Source organism: Homo sapiens, chromosome 11, assembly GCF_000001405.40.
Source record: "Homo sapiens chromosome 11, GRCh38.p14 Primary Assembly".
Classification (NCBI taxonomy): Eukaryota; Metazoa; Chordata; class Mammalia; order Primates; family Hominidae; genus Homo; species Homo sapiens.
In genome coordinates, this window is record NC_000011.10 from 107,611,769 (window position 1) to 107,628,980 (window position 17,212).

General features: G+C 38.7%; 1 protein-coding gene across 3 annotated transcripts in view; it reads left to right on the plus strand.

Moving 5' to 3' along the window:
- Positions 1-17,212, plus strand: part of ELMOD1 (ELMO domain containing 1) — a 75,633-nt gene that overhangs the window by 20,622 nt on the left and 37,799 nt on the right. For 2 of the 3 annotated variants that reach the window (NM_018712.4, NM_001130037.2), the window contains exon 2: positions 6,337-6,438. In NM_018712.4, the coding sequence (NP_061182.3) occupies positions 6,422-6,438 (17 nt within the window). In that variant the 5' untranslated portion in view covers positions 6,337-6,421. Of the gene's footprint in view, positions 1-6,336; positions 6,439-13,628; positions 13,765-17,212 lie in introns of all 3 variants that reach the window. The other variant, NM_001308018.2, reaches the window with a different exon arrangement.

Below are 17,212 nucleotides of genomic sequence, written 5' to 3' on the forward strand. Positions count from 1 at the left end.
ATACAAGCAGCCAACAAACATGAAGAAAATGCAAATCAAAACCACAATGAGATACCATCTCACATTAGCAAGAATGGCTATTATTAAGAAGTCCAAAAACAGCAGATGCTGGCAAGGCTGGGAGAAAAGGGAATGTTATACACTGCTGGTGGGAATGTAAATTAGTTCAGCCACTATGGAAAGCAGTTTGGCAATATCTCAAAGACCTTAAAACGATCTACCATTTGACCCAGCAATCCCACTGTTGGGTATATATCCAAAAGAAAATAAATCATTCGACAAAAAGACAAATGCATATGTTCGTCACAGCATATGTTCACAATAACAAAGACATGGGATCAACCAAGGTGCCCATTAACAGTGAACTGGATAAAGAATATGTGTTATGTATACCATAGAATACTACACAGCCATAAAATGGAATAAAATCATGTCCTTTGAAGCAACATGGATACAGCTGGATGCCATTATCCTAAGAAAATTAACACGGAAAACAAAATACCAGATGTTCTCACTTATAGGTGGGAGCTAAACATTGGGTACTTATGGACATAAAGATGGCAACAATAGACACTGGTGACTACTAGAGTTGGGAGGGAGGAGGGGAGCAAAGGTTGAAAAACTAACTATTGGATACTATGCTCACTACCTGGGTGACAGGATCGATTGTACCTAAACCTCAGCATCACGCAACATACGCATATAACAAACCTGCAAATATACTCCCTGAATTTAAAATAAAAGTTGAAATTATCTTGAAAAAATTCTCCCCATGCTTAGGTCCTGCTGAACCACTTGGGAAATGCTGGTTTGGCTATAGCAGAGGCTTAGTAGAATGAAATAGATGAGCTCAGTACCACTCATGGAAAAATAATTCAAAGGGCATTTCTTATCAATAGTGGCTCAGAACATCACACACACAGCTATGATTTGCTAAACACAGATTGTCTAATTAACAGCAAATAGAACATTAACAAGTGGGTCTCCTTTAAAACAAAGCTACTTGACTTTAAAAAGAAACAGTAATTTTTCATTTTCTATATAAAACATTTAGCATAGTTATTTAATGAATATTCTGTGAATAATGAGTTAAATAGCATTTGCACAGGCTTCTTCTGCCACCCAAAGCCATTTTTGGTGTTTCCTGTTTGGGGGACAGATAATGAGATCTAATTGTTATCTTTGTTTCCTGTTTGGGGGACAGACAATTAGAACTAATGGTTATTTTCCTTCCCTTCACTTTTCCCATTCAATCAGCAAGTCCAGTTGATTCTACCTTCTAAATATTTTTTACTTCTGTTCAGTTCTCTCCCTCCCCACAGTCATCATCCCAGTTCAGGTCACACCAACTTGCGAGAATTTATTTTAACAGTCTCTTAAGTGATTCTTCACTTGACAAAATGATCTTTTACTTTAGAGGAGAACATAATAAGAATGACAAAATTATAATACTAATAATAAATACTACTCACTGAATGTATATTAAATACCTGTAACTATGCTGAGTGCCTTACATGCTTTGGTTCTTTTAATCCTTAGAACAATCCTACAAGCTAATTTAATTACTTACCCCATTTAATCCTAGAGAGGTCAAGCAACTTGTCTAAAGCTGCCACTTGGCTAGTGGTAGATCCTAGACAAGAACTTTGTCTCCAAAACTTGTGCTCTCAACCACCATGCACACTCCCTGCCATATCTGCCAAATTTTCTCTTAATAGGAAGGCTCTTTTACTGTATTAAACTATGCTGCGTTACTCAGCACAATATTGGACACATAAACATTCAAGAAGTTTTTACAAGGGATAAATTCAAGAACTATTATGTAAAGAACGGGGAGTTAAAGTATTATTTCACTTATCTCACATCATTATGAAATAAAATTTTTTTCAGGTAAGCCAATTTTATAGTTAACTGAAATCAAACCACTTAACAGTACAGAATTGTTAAAAATTTAGATAAACTATTTCTAAAATGCAATCCATTCTTTACTACCTTAGTTGCATGAGAGTTCTTTTTCAATCATATCCTAATGACAAAGAGCTTTTGTTATGAACAAGTGTCATATATGCTACTTATTTAGTAATTCCTTCTGAACTATGGTTTTAATTACCATCTACATGCTGAGGAAGCCCAAATCTTTGTTTCCAACCTGTGTTGTCTTCCTGACCTTCAGATCCATGAATCTTTACCACTTGGTCCTGAAAACTAAAAATGTTCCAAAGACCTTTTTATACCCAGATCCCCAAATATGCTTCTCCAAAATATCATATCTTAATGAATAATTCCTCTGTCTATCCAGTTGCTGGCCACAAACATGGACATAATGTTCAACTCCCCCTTTTCCTTTGCCAACCACTGCCGCAGTCAATCAATTAACAAAGGTCCTATTGAATCTACCTTCTAACTATCTCTCATATCTTTCACACCTCTGTCTGTCCATTGCCTTATCCTGCCATTAATATCTTTGCCTGGGTTATTGCAACAAGTCTGTAGATGGTATCCTATATCTATAATTTTAGGTATAGGATTTATTCCTCATATTACAATTTATTCTTCATATTACAATCAGAGTATTTTGTTTTGTTTTGTTTTGAGACGGAGTCTCTGTTGCCCAGGCTGGAGTGCAATGGTGCAATCTTGGCTCACTGCAACTTCCACCTCCCGGGTTCAAGCAATTCTCCTGCCTCAGCCTCCTGAGTAACTGGGGCTACAGGCACACACCACCACACCCGGCTAATTTTTGTATTTTTAGTACAGACAGGGTTTCACCATGTTGGCCAGGATGGTCTCGATCTCCTGACCTCGTGATCCACCCGCCTCGGCCTCCCAAAGTGCTGGGATTACAGGCATAAGCCACCATGCCCGGCCCAGAGTGTATTTTTTAAACTAGAGATCTGATCATGTCACATCTCAGCTGGAAAGCTTTCAATAGCTCCTTATTGCTCTTCAGATAAGGTTCAAACTTCAACATTACTTACTAAGCCTGCTTGATCTGACCCTTACTTGCTTTTCCTTATCTTGCCATCACTATTTTTCCCATCCCTCTCACTGAGCACCACACTAAGTCATGTTGGAACTTTATCTCTTATACATATTCTGCACTCTTTTGCCTTTAGAGCTTTGCATGTGCTATCTGGAGAACCCCCAACCCCTACATCTAGGCTAAGCATCTCTCCTACTCACTGCCACAGCACCTATTTCCACTTGTAATACTGTATTTAAGTCCCTGTTTGTTTCTCTGTATCATCTTCTCTCCTCTCCTCCCCAAAGACTGTTGCATCTACAGGGTAGAGCTATGCCCCTTTTGTTTACCCTATAGTATCCCTAGTGCCTCACTATGTCTAGAGCGTAGCAGGCATTAACATATTTTATAAACTATTTTGAAAACAGTTTTAGATTTACAGAAAAGCTACAAAGATAGTACAGAGGGTTCCCTTATACTTTCCCCTGTTGTCAGCATCTTTTTTTTTTTTTTTTTTTTTTTTTGAGACGTAGTCTCACTCTGTCACCAGGCTGGAGTGCAGTGGCGTGATCTCGGCTCACTGCAACCTCTGCCTCCCGGGTTCAAGCGATTCTCCTGCCTCAGCCTCCCAAGTAGCTGGGATTACAGGCACGCGCTGCCACACCCAGCTAATTTTGTATTTTTAGTAGAGACGGGGTTTCACCATGTTGGCCAGGATGGTCTCGATCTCCTCACCTCGTGATCCACCCACCTCGGCCTCCCAAAGTGCTGGGATTACAGGCGTGAGCCACCACACCCAGCCTGTTGTCAGCATCTTACGTTAATATTATACATTTGTCACAACTAATGGACCAATACTGATACCTTATTATTAACTAAAGTCCTTGCTTCATTCAATTTTTCTTAGTTTTTACCTAATGTCCTTTTTTCTATTCCAGGATCCAATCAGGATAATACATTACGTGTAATAGTCATAGCTCCTTTGGCTTGCACCTCTTGGCTGTGATAGTTTCTTAGACTTTCCTTGTTTTTTAAGCTTTTCAGAGTTTTGAGGGGTACTGATTAGATATTTTGTGGCATGCCCTTGAATTGGGGTTTGTCGAATGTTCTCATGATTAGACTGGGGTTATATGTTTGGGGGAGTAAAGTGCCATTTTCATCATATCAGGTCAAGGTTACATGCTATCAACATGACTTATCACTGGTGATCTTAGCCTTGATCACCTGGCTGAGGCAGTGTTTGTCAGGTTTTTCCTTTTTTTTTTTTTTTTTTTTTTTTTTTTGAGACAGAGTCTCACTTTGTTGCCCAGGCTGGAGTGCAGTGGTGCCATCTTGCCTCACTGCAACCTCTGCCTCCCAGGTTCAAGCAATTCTCCTGCCTCAGCCTCCCAAGTAGCTGGGATTACAGGTGCCCACCACCACACCTGGCTAATTTTTGTATTTTTAGTAGAGATGGGGTTTTGCCATGTTGGCCAGGCTGGTCTCAAACTGCTGGCCTCAAGTGATCTGCCTGCCTCCACCTTCCAAAGTGCTGAGATTACAGGTGTGAGCCACTGTGCCCAGCCCTACTGTAGTTATTCTTTTTTCCCCTATCCACACTGTACTCAGAAAGTCATATGTCCAGTTTATATTTAAGGGATAGGGAGGTTTTTGTTTGGTTTGTTTTTGAGACAGAGTCTCACTCCTTCACCCAGGCTGGAGTGCAGTGGCGCATTCTCGGGTCACTGTAACCTCCACCTCCCGGTTCAAGTGATTCTCCTGCCTCAATCTCCTGAGTAACTGGGACTATAGGCACGCACTACCACACCCAGCCAATTTCTGTATTTTTAGTAGAGATGAGGTTTCTTCATGTTGGCCATGCTGGTCTTGAACGCCTGACCTCAAGTGATCTGCCTGCCTCGGTTTCCCAAAGTGCTGGGATTACAGGCGTGAGCCAGGGTGCCTGGCCTGCTCCACCTACTTGAGGGCAGAGTGGCTACGTCAATTATTTGACCATTGGGAGTTCTTTCAGTTGATTGTTGTGTTTATTTGACACACGCCTATTTTGTTTACCTTGAGCACTTCTTGACTTTCTTGTGCTGCAATATGCTTCAGGTTCACCTTGCCCTGACCCAGCTTTAGAATCAACCATTTCCCAGGGTCCCCTAGATGCCTTTATTGTTGAATGTATTAGAAATTATGATCCGAGTGTTGGGTGGGAACTAACCAAATTAAATTAAAATTTGGATTCATTTAGAAAAAACACAAAAGTACAAAGGATAATATATGTTCCCACCACTCAAAATGAATAAACGTTATTTTCCTTTTATTTTGCCTCAGATATATTTTAAGAAATAAAACACACAAAGTTGAGAAGATCATTTTTCTCCTTCCAATCCTAAACCCCACCTCTCTTCCCAAAAGCAACCACAGTCTTAAATTGGTGTATAGACAGTTTTTTCAAGCATGTATGGAATATTTACAGAAATAAACGTGTTAAATAAGAGACTGGCTTTTATTCGAGCTAAGTATGAGTTCCCACACTCTGGGCTGTTCTAGTTGGCAATGTGTCTCTGCCCGCAGCTCTTTTTCGAATGTATATTCGTTTCCTTGCATTTCTGCTGCAGTGGATGTTCCATTTCTCTCTTTTCTCATGAGATAACTTCTCTCCACTTGCAGACACTCTCTCTTCTATAGTCTGTTTTATCCCCTCTCATCCTAACTTGCTGCTTTGCAGGCTGCTCCTAGTGTCTTCCTTATCAAAAGGAAGAAGGCTGATAACCTGATGTACACTTTGTGAAAGCAAATCATAAACCAAAAAGTGCCATGCAAATATCAAATCTCACTGCTCTGTTCACAGTGCCAAAAGACAATGGGGCCTGGGGCATCATTCATTTCTTTGTAGTATCTTGCGCTTTAAGTGATTCTTGAGCTTGAGCTCTTTAACAGTTGTCTTTTATCTTGAAGTTAGTTGGTTCCAGTTATTTTTGAGTTGTACTTCTACAAAGTTGGGGCCGCCAGATACTAGACTATTGGATATCTGGAAATCCAGTTGGTTAATTTTATTGTTCTTCATTTTTATTTTTCTTAGGAATACTATTCCTAAAGATATAGGAACAATACCCAAAATAAAGGAAAAGACTGATATTGAAGAGATTGCTCATGAAATTCATAATTTCTCCAGCAAGTGACTTAAAATGAAAGGCTAATTGTATTAATATAAAGTCTATACCTGTAACCTCTATCCATTGAATTGCATTGCTCTGTGGGCAGTTCTGTTGATAATGTTCTGGGTGGCTGGCATGTTAACTGCTTGCCTCAGTAAGCAGAAATTTTTGGTTTGCAGCTTCCAGCCTTATTAGTAAATATACCTAATATCTAATTTCTTCCCACAGTTGACACTTACTTTGACAAAGGCAAATTTGGAAGCAATTACTTGAGGACAGTTCATATAGCATCTGGACAGTCAACACGGGCACCATGAAGCACTTCCTGAGGTATGTGTTTACGGTTCCCTGGCTGAGCCCTCTGCAGTGGGAGAAACCTCCTCACTGGTTAGGGTAATATTACCAGTCATCGTTTGTGATCCTGTGACCAGGACTCCTAAGATTCTGTGAAATAGCACTGCATTTTTGCTAAGAATAACTTGGCCATGAGATTCCTCTGCTAACTCTATATGCGTGCTGATGATAAGACAGAGCACTTGTAGATGGCGAGAGAGTGTGGGCACAAAAGCATGGCACTTTAGACAGCCCTGGTGCCATGTGTCTCTGCACAGTGGTACACCGCTGGCCTGAAAGGTTTAAGGAAATAGCTGTCAATGAATCACTTAATACAATTTGTGTAAAATCATTTTCTGGAAATAAGTATCCTTTTAAATATCCTTTAATTTAGATTTTGGTTGGCTGGCCAATCCATATGGGCATTTTAAAATTTTGTGGGCGGTCAAACTATATGTTCTAAGCTTCCGCTCTTCTTACCTCAGTGATGTCTCTGAAATTTGTATCAATTGTTGGTTCCCTGAAGATTGTGCTGGACAGAGTATGCCATAAATTGGTATGTTTGGGGTGATCTTTTTTAGTTTTGAAAAGCATTTGACTGGACCTAAAGTTATAATTATTTTCAAGAGTATTGACTGTCATTCAGTTGTCTATTAATGGAATTCCCAGATAAATTTTGCATAATATTAAAATACGGCAAAATAAAGTTAGTCAGGTCCTGAATGTGAGAAAATACAACATACTTTCCAGAAGATCGGGCTTCTTTTCCTCAAGATGGTGACCTGCTTCTGTTACACATTCTTGTCTTTCACTCGGGCCTGTTTTCTCTAAGCAAATTAATAGGCTTGCATCTTTTAAGAAATGATTTGATTCCTACAATGGCCATAATTTAAGATCCACTGCCCCCCACCCCAGTGGTTTTGGTTCCATTGTTGTTTCTGGAGCACCCAGATCAGTTTGTGTGGGATTCACTGGGTTTTGATGCAGCTACTGGTAGTTTACTGGATCTTCGAATTGTGAAAACCTCTCAGGAAGTTACTGTGAAACAATTTATAGTCATCAGCATTTGTTTTATTGTACAGAATACTGTTTATCTTAGCTGTGTAAAAATATAGTATTTGAAAAATCAGGAGGACATTTGCCAGCCAAGTATTTGACCTAATATGTTCTTGGTTGTCATGGTAATTAACTGATCTATCTATACATTCATGAAAATTTGGCATTTGTGCACACCTCCTGAATGTAAACATGGTGTCTTTCATCTGCAGAATCATGTTAACAGAAAGCTTTAGTGTGAGATGAAGCTTAGAATTTAGGAGCTCCCTTTGTAAAAGTGGTGATGATGGTGGTAAGGTTGCCAAGTCTTGTACTACTCAATTTCTTCCTCGATGTCTTATTTGTTTTAGAAAAACTTGAGCAGCCTCAAAACCAGTAATTTTAGGAAAAATAGTAGCCTTTGGTTCTGTTAGTTTTATTGTTAAACTGAATAGGTGCACAAAGAGTACATTTTTAAATTAATTTGTATATGATGATTTAGAACTGGTACAGTGAAAATCTACCATTGTAATTTTGCATAGACTAGCACCAAGGGTTACAGAACCAACACATCCCTATTAGTTATGTGTTCTGATAAACATTTTTTTCATGTATCTTGGAGTGTATATTTTATAAATATTATATGGCATTGATTATTTATGTGAAACTAAAGCTAGGATAACAGATTGTACATTAAAACAGAAACTTGAGGATTTTCATTGACCATTGGTTTTGAAATAATAAAAGGAAACTTGATCATTTCCCTTCTTTAGTTGATTTATTTTCTGTAGTCCATTTCCACAGATGTTGGACGATTTTGGCAATCTTTTCATTTGAACCAAAGAGAAGGTTATGTAAGCAAAGCCTGAATGAATCAGATGTTAATTCCTGAGCTCAGCAAATGTATTATGGAGAATGAGGAGCTGACTTTTCACTGGGAAGAATTCAGCATTATTTAAAAGCCCATGCAGTGATTAATCTGTCAACTTCTGAGATGTTCTAGAATGAAATGCTCCATGCACAGTCCCAGAAGAAATTAGGTTAACCTTAGAGAAACCAGGTTGTGGGAAAAAATGGATTTTGATCTACATTTAGGATACATGATACCCAATTGCTACCATCAGATATATTAATGGTATAAATATTCAGAGCAAAAAGGAATAGAGAAAATATTCAATGTATGTCAAAAATTACATGAAATATAAGGAATAAATGCTATTTGATTAGTACACCTGGCTAAAATGTGTATTTTAAATTGAGGATAGAAATGGGATATTGGGTATGTATCCCCAGACCATCCAGTCTGACTTTAGCCATGATGTGCATGAAAAGAAAACATGAGGCTGGGCGTGGTGGCTCACGCCCGTAATCCCAGCATTTTGGGAGGCCTAGGCGGGCAGATCACGAGGTCAAGAGATCGAGACCATCCTGGCCAACATGGTGAAACCATCTCTACTAAAAATACAGAAATTAACTGGGTGTGGTGGCACATGCCTGTAGTCCCAGTTACTTAGGAAGCTGAGGCAGGAGAATCGCTTGAACCAGGGAGTCAGAAGTTAAGGTGAGCCGAGATAATGCCACTGCATTCCAGCCTGGCAAAAGAGCGAGACTCCGTCTCAAAAACAAAAAAAAGAAGAGAAAAGAAAAAGAAAACATGGGAAAACATGGATAACAAAACATATCTACATGTGATCAGAAAAAGAAGGAACATTTTTTAAGTCCCAGCTAGAACAAAAGCTTAGGGTTTCATTTTTGTAATATATTTTACTAACTTTAATTCAGTTGATGTGTATAACAGAGAAGTCTGAAAACTTGTGCTGAAGATCATTTCCCTCGTTGGGATTTAGTTATTGAGGTTATATTTTTTAAAGTTATCAGAACATGATTAATTTTGGAAATTAATAAAGGAAAATTTTAAAGTCACCCATGTAAATCATTGCTTCCAACTGTTCCAGTCTCAGAATCTCAGTTTCTTGGCCCTGCATCTCACCTCGTTATTTTCCTTCCTCCAGCAGAAAAGAGGAAAGGAAAATATCTGCCAAGCTCAAACCTCTGTGGGAGGAACTGAGCAATACAGCAGACTTATCCCATGTCCCAACTTTGAGGCAATCAAGGGAAAAAACTATTTTTCTAGTATGATTAGGTAAATAAGGGCTTACAATTAGCAAAAATAACTACAAATTGGATTTTTAAGTCATTCATACTTGATTAATATCTTGGTCCACTAAGTCATTTAGTGTGCATTCATTGCTAATAATGCAAGTATTTATTCCACTTTCATTCTCTCTTCATAGCAAATGTAATTAAGTAAGACATAACATCCCATTTTACAAAGGAGGACAAGGAGGCTTAGTAAAGTTAAGTGACTTCAACAAAGGCACATAGATGTTTGAATGCAGGCCTCTTTGACTTCCAAGCTGTTTCTCATGTTTGTGTCACATTACCCCATTACTGTGAGCCCACTGTGAGGTATTGTAGGTGATTCAAAAATGAATGTGAGGGCCAGGCATGGTGGCTCACACCTGTAATCCCAGCACTTTGGGAGGCCAAGGCAGGTGGATCACCTGAGGTCAGGAGTTCAAGACCAGCCTGGCCAACAAGGTGAAACCCCATCTCTACTAAAATTACAAAAAATGGTTGGTCATGGCGGTGGGTGCCTGTAATCCCAGCTACTAGGGACACTGAGGCAGGAGAATCGCTTGAACCCAGGAGGCGGAGGTTGCAGTGAGCCGAGATCACGCCACTGCACTCTAGCCTAGGTGACAAGAGCAAAACTCCATCTCAAAAATAAATGAATGTGAGACGTCTCTGTTCCAAAGTAACACACCACCTGGTAAGAGACGAGGCGTATGCATACAAAACTAAGATATATAAAAGAATGCGATCAGTGACAGGTTATAAACATTTTGTGAAGGAATATTCAGGAAACGCTTCATTGAGACAATGTTGAGAGAAAGGAAGGACTAGGATTTTAATATTTTAAAATAAGGATAGAAGATGTGGGATGCTGTAAACAAGGCCAAGAAGGCATGACTGGTGCCATAAGCACTAGTGGTCCAAGTTTGTTAGATGTAGACCCTGTTTGGGGTGAGTAGAAGACAAGTTGCAAAAATCAAGTTAGGAGCAGTTCTTGGTCACCTTTGCAAGCACAGCATGAAGCAGCCCAGAGCATGGCAACATTTTCACCCCGACTTAAAGAGCACCTCAAAGAGGAAGGAGAATCGGATAAAAATATCTTTTCCCCTTCTAACATGTCTGGCCTTCGCTTAGAGCCAGACATCTAGTCCAATCCCTTCACCTTATGTGTGAGAAAGAAGAAACCCAGAGAAGCAAAGTAACCTCTCCAAAGTCACATAGTTCATTGAGGCAAATTCGGGCTAGACTCCAAGTCTGACTTTCAGACAAGTTAGTCAAACTTTTTATTCAGCATGACCCACTTTCCATTGCTTTTGAAGAGCAGAAGGTGCAGGAACGTGTAGTTGTTCCAGAATTTGATTAGCATTGCTTGAGGCATTGACTGAGCTTGTGAGATATAGAAGCTAAGTCCTGAAAAAGGGAAAGTTTATGGCCTGTGCATCCAAATACCTCTCTCACTGTAGACTGGTACTTTTAGCTGTAGTGTTCTCTTTTCTATGGTACATACATGTATGAGGTATATTTTTACATGTATGTGTGCATATATATGACACATACATATATAAACACACACAAATATGCACATATATATACACATATATATTTTTATTATACTTTAAGTTTTAGGGTACATGTGCACAACGTGCAGGTTTGTTACATATGTATACATGTGCCATGTTGGTGTGCTGTACCCATTAACTCATCATTTAACATTAGGTATATCTCCTAATGCTATCCCTCCCCGATTCCCCCACCCCACAACAGGCCCCGGTGTGTGATGTTCCCCTTCCTGTGTCCATACACACATATATTTTAAATTATTTTGCTCCCTGCATTAAAACAAACAAAAGCTGTGTCCACACTCTCATTGAAATATGTTAACCTGCATCTTTTTCTAGGCAATCTCCTGTAGGTGACCTTCCCAGAGCCTGCCCATTGCCCTCAAGCTGTTGTCCGAGATCCTCTGGGAGCTGGATCACGTACATCCCAGCTCTCCCGCCCCTTGGCTTTCCCTCAGCTTTTCAGGGCCAACTCTTTGGCCACTTCACTGTTTGTTAAGCTCTTCCCGCAGAGCATGAGCAATATACCCGAAAGCCACGGGCACTCAATAAATGTTAGTTTGAATTTCATTCATTTACTCATTGGAATTTTCACTTTTGTACTGAAGTGAGGAAAGCACGCTGATTTTCCAGGCTGTTCTGTCTGTCTCTGTGGGATGGTGGAGCTGGCTTTCCTGTCCAACCTGAGAGGAACGTACTGTCTCTCTCTCCTCTGCCTCTCCAACACCCTGGGTGTTTTGCTTTTATAGAATTGTCACACTGTTTTTCAACTTTCTGTTTTTACTGTCCTTTTCCTTGCTAGACTACAAGCTCCTTGTGGACAGGGAGGTCATATGGCTTGCTGTGAAAATAAGTTCTTGACTCATGTTCACTTTTTCCACTGCCATATCTCCCACTCTCATTTCTTCTGTACTGCACGGTCAGTCTTATTTTGTATTTGGCTCTATGAAGGAATAAATAAAATAAATTGAAATACCTTTCAATTGTCATTTTTCATTTCCCCCCAACTTATTTCAAATCTCTTTCTTTCAGCTGCTCTAGGTCTTTAACAAAAATTAATTTGTTCACAATACTGAGCATGTCCTCTAACTAGGTTGTTTAAATTTTTTTTGAATTATATTATGTAGCAAATTTATAATAATAACAGGCCTATTTCTTATCCCCTATAGAATATTTTGAACCCTATAATTGATGATGGAGCATGAATAATACCTTTGATGACTTTATTTATATGTTTACTTAATTTGGGTTGCCTTAAAAATATTTTTATTTACCAATAAAAGTTTATATTTGAGGTTGCATTTAAATACTTTTAAAATGTCAAAGTATAATGTGTTATAATGTGTTCATTGTTTCTCCTTATAAATAAGTCAATAAAAGTATTATCCAAAGAGTAAAACATAACCTGATTTTAAAAAATAAATCTTGTAGCCAGGCACGGCGGCTCATGCCTATAATCCTAGCACTTTGGGAGGCTGAGGCAGGCAGATTGCTCAAGCCCATGAGTTCAAGACCAGCTTGGGCAACACAGCAAGACCCCATCTTTATAGAAAATACAAAAATTAGCTGAGCATTGTGGCGCGTACCTGTAGTCCCAGCTACAGGGGAGGCTGAGGTAGGAGGACCACCTGAGCCCAGAGAGGTCGAGGCTGCTTCAGCCTAGGCAACAGAGTAAGACCGTGTCTTGACAAATAAATAAATAGAAATAAATCTTATAAAGTGTATTTAATCATCAAAATTTTGGTTGAATAATGTTGTTGTTAGTAAATTAAGAGAAACCTGTACCTCCTTTTCTTTGAAAGGAAAGGGTTACACTATTAATTAATTTATTTTAATTATTACACAATCAACTAGTGCTCTCTAAGCCTTCAGATACAATTTCCCTGGAATATATTATAAAAAGAGTGCCCTTTGCTACAGCAGTATAATTTTGAATAACATTGATCTATGATAGATATATAACCACCAATCCCCTTAATTTTTACTTTTTCGGAAGTTAGTGTGATCTCTTCAGAAAAAGAATAATGTGAAAAAACCACAGGGCCCCACACTATCTGGGCGTGGGATCTTGGAACCTCTCCCCTGCTCTACAGGAAGGAAATACTCTTGTTTTCCTAGAGACCCACGGATGGTTTCTTTGTGTGATTTCACATTTCCAGTTCATGTACCAAGTCCTCTGCAGCCTCTCTTCCTAGTAGAGAGCTCTTATACGGATGGTCCCATTTACTAGGCAAAGTACCTATTGATAAGTTAATTCCCAACCGATTGTCAGTGCCCCTACTTAGGAACTTCAGTGGAGCAACTAAATGATCTGTCGGGGACATTGAGCCGCTTGCTCTTCTTTATGACATTTAGATGAAAAGTATTTCATTTGGGAAACTGTGGTTTGAACCAAGAACTGTGATTATTTTTGTACATATCTTTCATCAACAATAGTGTACTTTTTATTTATTACAGGATTTCTTCAAGCAAGAATTAACTTTCATTAGCACATTCATTGAAACTGTTCAAAATAAGCCACTTTTCTCTTACTGTTCCAAAAGAAGACGTCAGAGTCACAAATTTAGGATGATGGCATAGTGTTGCATTACAGGTACCCACACCCCCTCACCCCACAGGCAAGGGGCTACATGGTTTTAGGCGCATTTCCTGTTTTGAAAGCCCCATCCCTCCTGAATGGATTCCTCTAACAAAGCGCCACAAGACCGGAGGTTGCTTTTGTTTGGTAGCAGAGATATGATCCATTTCGAATAATTTACATTGGGTGGCTATTCTGGTTCAAACTAGAGAATGAATGTTAAATAATAAACGTGATCATAATTGCTTTATGGAAGAACACTGCTGTGAACTCAGCCATAAACATCACTCTGCAGCATATTAATAAAAGGCAGTAACAGAAAAGATTGGAAATGGAGCATGTGTAGTAGCTCTTATTATTGAATCAGATTCTCCCAGTGTTTAAGCAAGGCATTCATCTTAGGAAGCTACAGTAACTCTTTCTGGAACACTATCAAAAAGCTGTGATTAAAAAACAGAAATAAACAAAAAAACTGCTGCCTATGCATGTAGTTATTAGAAAGAGGAGGTGGTGATCAGTATTTTCTCCATCTAGTCTTGAGGATTTAATTGTTGTTCCTACAAAATCTAACAGATTATTTTTAGTAGTGAGTCAAGAATCTTCCATCAAAATGAAGAAAACTAAGTCTAGTGTTATGAAGAAGAAAAGCGAATATTGCCCAATTAAAACTAAGCTTATTGGTTTCCTGATTCAGCCTAGGAGGGAAAGGAGCAGAGCCATAAACCCCCTGAGCAGAGGGTTCAGAAGGTGAGGAGGGTGTGAAACAGGAGGTTGAGATTAGTGCTGGTACAAGAGACAGTAAGTGGGTTCTGTCTCACAGGTACATTTGAAATGCCTCCTCCCAAAGCATGCAGTCATGAAAAAAAAAAAAAAAAAGGACATAAAACAAATGAAATTAAAAGGAGGAAAGGGTACAATGAATCCCAAAATCCTTAAACTCAAATAAGAAACAGATACACCTTTTCTTTCTCCCTTCCTTATTCTCTTCCTTCCTCTCTCCCTCTGTTCCTCCCTCCTGTCCCTCCCTTCCCTCCTGTCCCCCACTTCCCCTTCCCCTTCCCTTCCTTCCTTCTTTCCTTCTTATCTTCTTTCCTTCTTTCTTTCTTTCCTTCTTTTCTTTCCCTCTCTCTTTCTTTCTTTTTCTTTCTTTCTTTCTTTCCTAAACAACCACTGATTAGCTCAAGAGCATTTACAGATCTATTTCTTTATTGCTTCCTTTAAAGGGTAAACATGTCAAACCAATATAACATTCTCTCAAAATAGTTAATCATTTTTATTGTTCTGCTTTTGATCCTCAGCAGTTTTTTCCATAAACTTTGTGATTTAGGGACTTAAATAGGTCCAAATTATTTAAGAAGTGAGCTTCTGGCAGTATTTGATGGTGAACAGCCAGCCTGAGTTGCTCACATGGAGGTTTTGAGGAGTTGGTCCTTTTATAAGGAAGCAAGTTGTATATTGTTTCCAAAGTAAGGGATCACCCTGATGTTTCCATCTCTGACCATGACCTGCCTGGACCAGGTTTATAACCTAGACACAAAATAAATTACACCTGTCAAAACATAATTTGATCTGATGATCTGGATTAAAAAAATACAGTAACTAGCATAGCAGGAAAGTATGGTACCTAGCACAGCAAGCTGAGGTTTTAATTAAATATTTGTGGGCATGTTGGCCCATTAGAAAAATAAGGGGAGAAAATAGAATATATCTTGGATAATAAGTAGCATTATCAGGTCCTGTTGGCCTAGGAATTATGAAAGAACAAGCAGCGTATAGATACCATTTCATAATTCAAATGTGCACAATTGAAATTGTTTATGATTATGTGAGAGAGATGTGATTTACTTCACAGAGTGGTGAACCCTAAGAAATGATGCTTCATCCCTAACACCTCCTGTGGATTTCTCCTGGCTTTCATGTCTTTGACAGTATGAGCATCATCAAGGAAGTTTTTTTTAAAAGATAAAAGCAAATAGAATGAGATATCTTTTCTTCCTTTTGATGTAAGACTGTCTTGATGCAAAACAGTAACACAGTCATTTTTCTCATATACAAGGATGCCAGTGGGAGAAATTAGAGTTGGGCTGTAGGTAACTCTATATATGGACACTTCCTGCCACTTAAGATGACACTTCTAGGTCTCAAGCCTCCTCTTTGTGTAGACCTGATACAGAGGTCACAGGGAAGACTTTTTGTAGCTTAATTTAAGCTCTGTTTGATGCCTTGGAACCTAAATAGGAAGAATACAGAGACACTCCTTGAACGATCATAAGGGTCGTCCTCTTCTCTAGGAAGATTTAGTACAAACAGAACTGGATTATCTCATAGTTCTACTTTTGCTAGAGTTCTGCCACACAGACTTAAAAGGTAGCTTCCTTTGAGGTGCAAGCCCGCAGATGGGGTGGACTTCCCTGAAAATTGCACATGGAACAGATATTAGGGAAAGCTTTTATCTTTGACTTAGTAATTAATAGTATATATTAATATGTTAATGTATATACATATATATCCCAGTAATTAATATCATTACCATTTTGCTGGGGACCAGTTAACAAGATATTGCTCAATCTTTTTTTTTTTTTGGCATAGCTATCCAGTAGTTAGAAAATGAAAAACATTTTCCAAGAGAGCAAGCTGAGGGGTTTTTTTGTTTTGTTTTGTTTTGTTTGAGACAGAGTCTTGCTCTGTCGCCAGGCTGGAGTGCAGTGGTATGATCTCGGCTCACTGCAACCTCCGCCTCCTGGGTTCAAGCAATTCTCCTGCCTCAGCCTCCCAAGTAGCTGGGATTACAGGCATGTGCCACCACGCCCAGCTAATTTTTGTATTTTTAGTAGAGATGGGGTTTCACCATATTGGCTGGGATGGCCTCGATCTCTTGACCTCTTGATCCACCCGCCTCAGCCTCCCAAAGTGCTGGTATTACAGGCGTGAGCCACTGCGTCCAGCCCTGAGGTTTTATAAACCTTCTCACTTGTCTAATTAAAATATCCCACTAAATTTATTTTTAGGGCTACTGGGTTTTGTTGTTGTTGTTTTTTGGGGTGTTTTTTTTTTGGAAGCTGTTAAACTAAATCCTAACAGATCTTAGGATATATTTGACTAGAACAGTTGAATGAACAGTAAATCCATTTTTGTCTTTCCGCAGAATCTGGTTGACTTTGTACTGACTATACATGGAAATTTTATATGCACTTTTGTAATGGCTTTTGGTGATCATTTTATACATCATAATTTTAGTTATAATTTTCATTTTTTAAATAAAATAATACATATTTATTATAAAAATGTACTTAATCAAAAAAGAAAATTAAAATTACTGATTATTTTACTACCAATCAATATCACTGTTAACATTTTTGTTGTGTATCCTGCTTTATACATTACTATTAAAATTTTTGTTTTATTTTTTAAATGAAAAGTGGATTATCCCATACATATTTCTTTTTAACTTTTTTCTACTTGA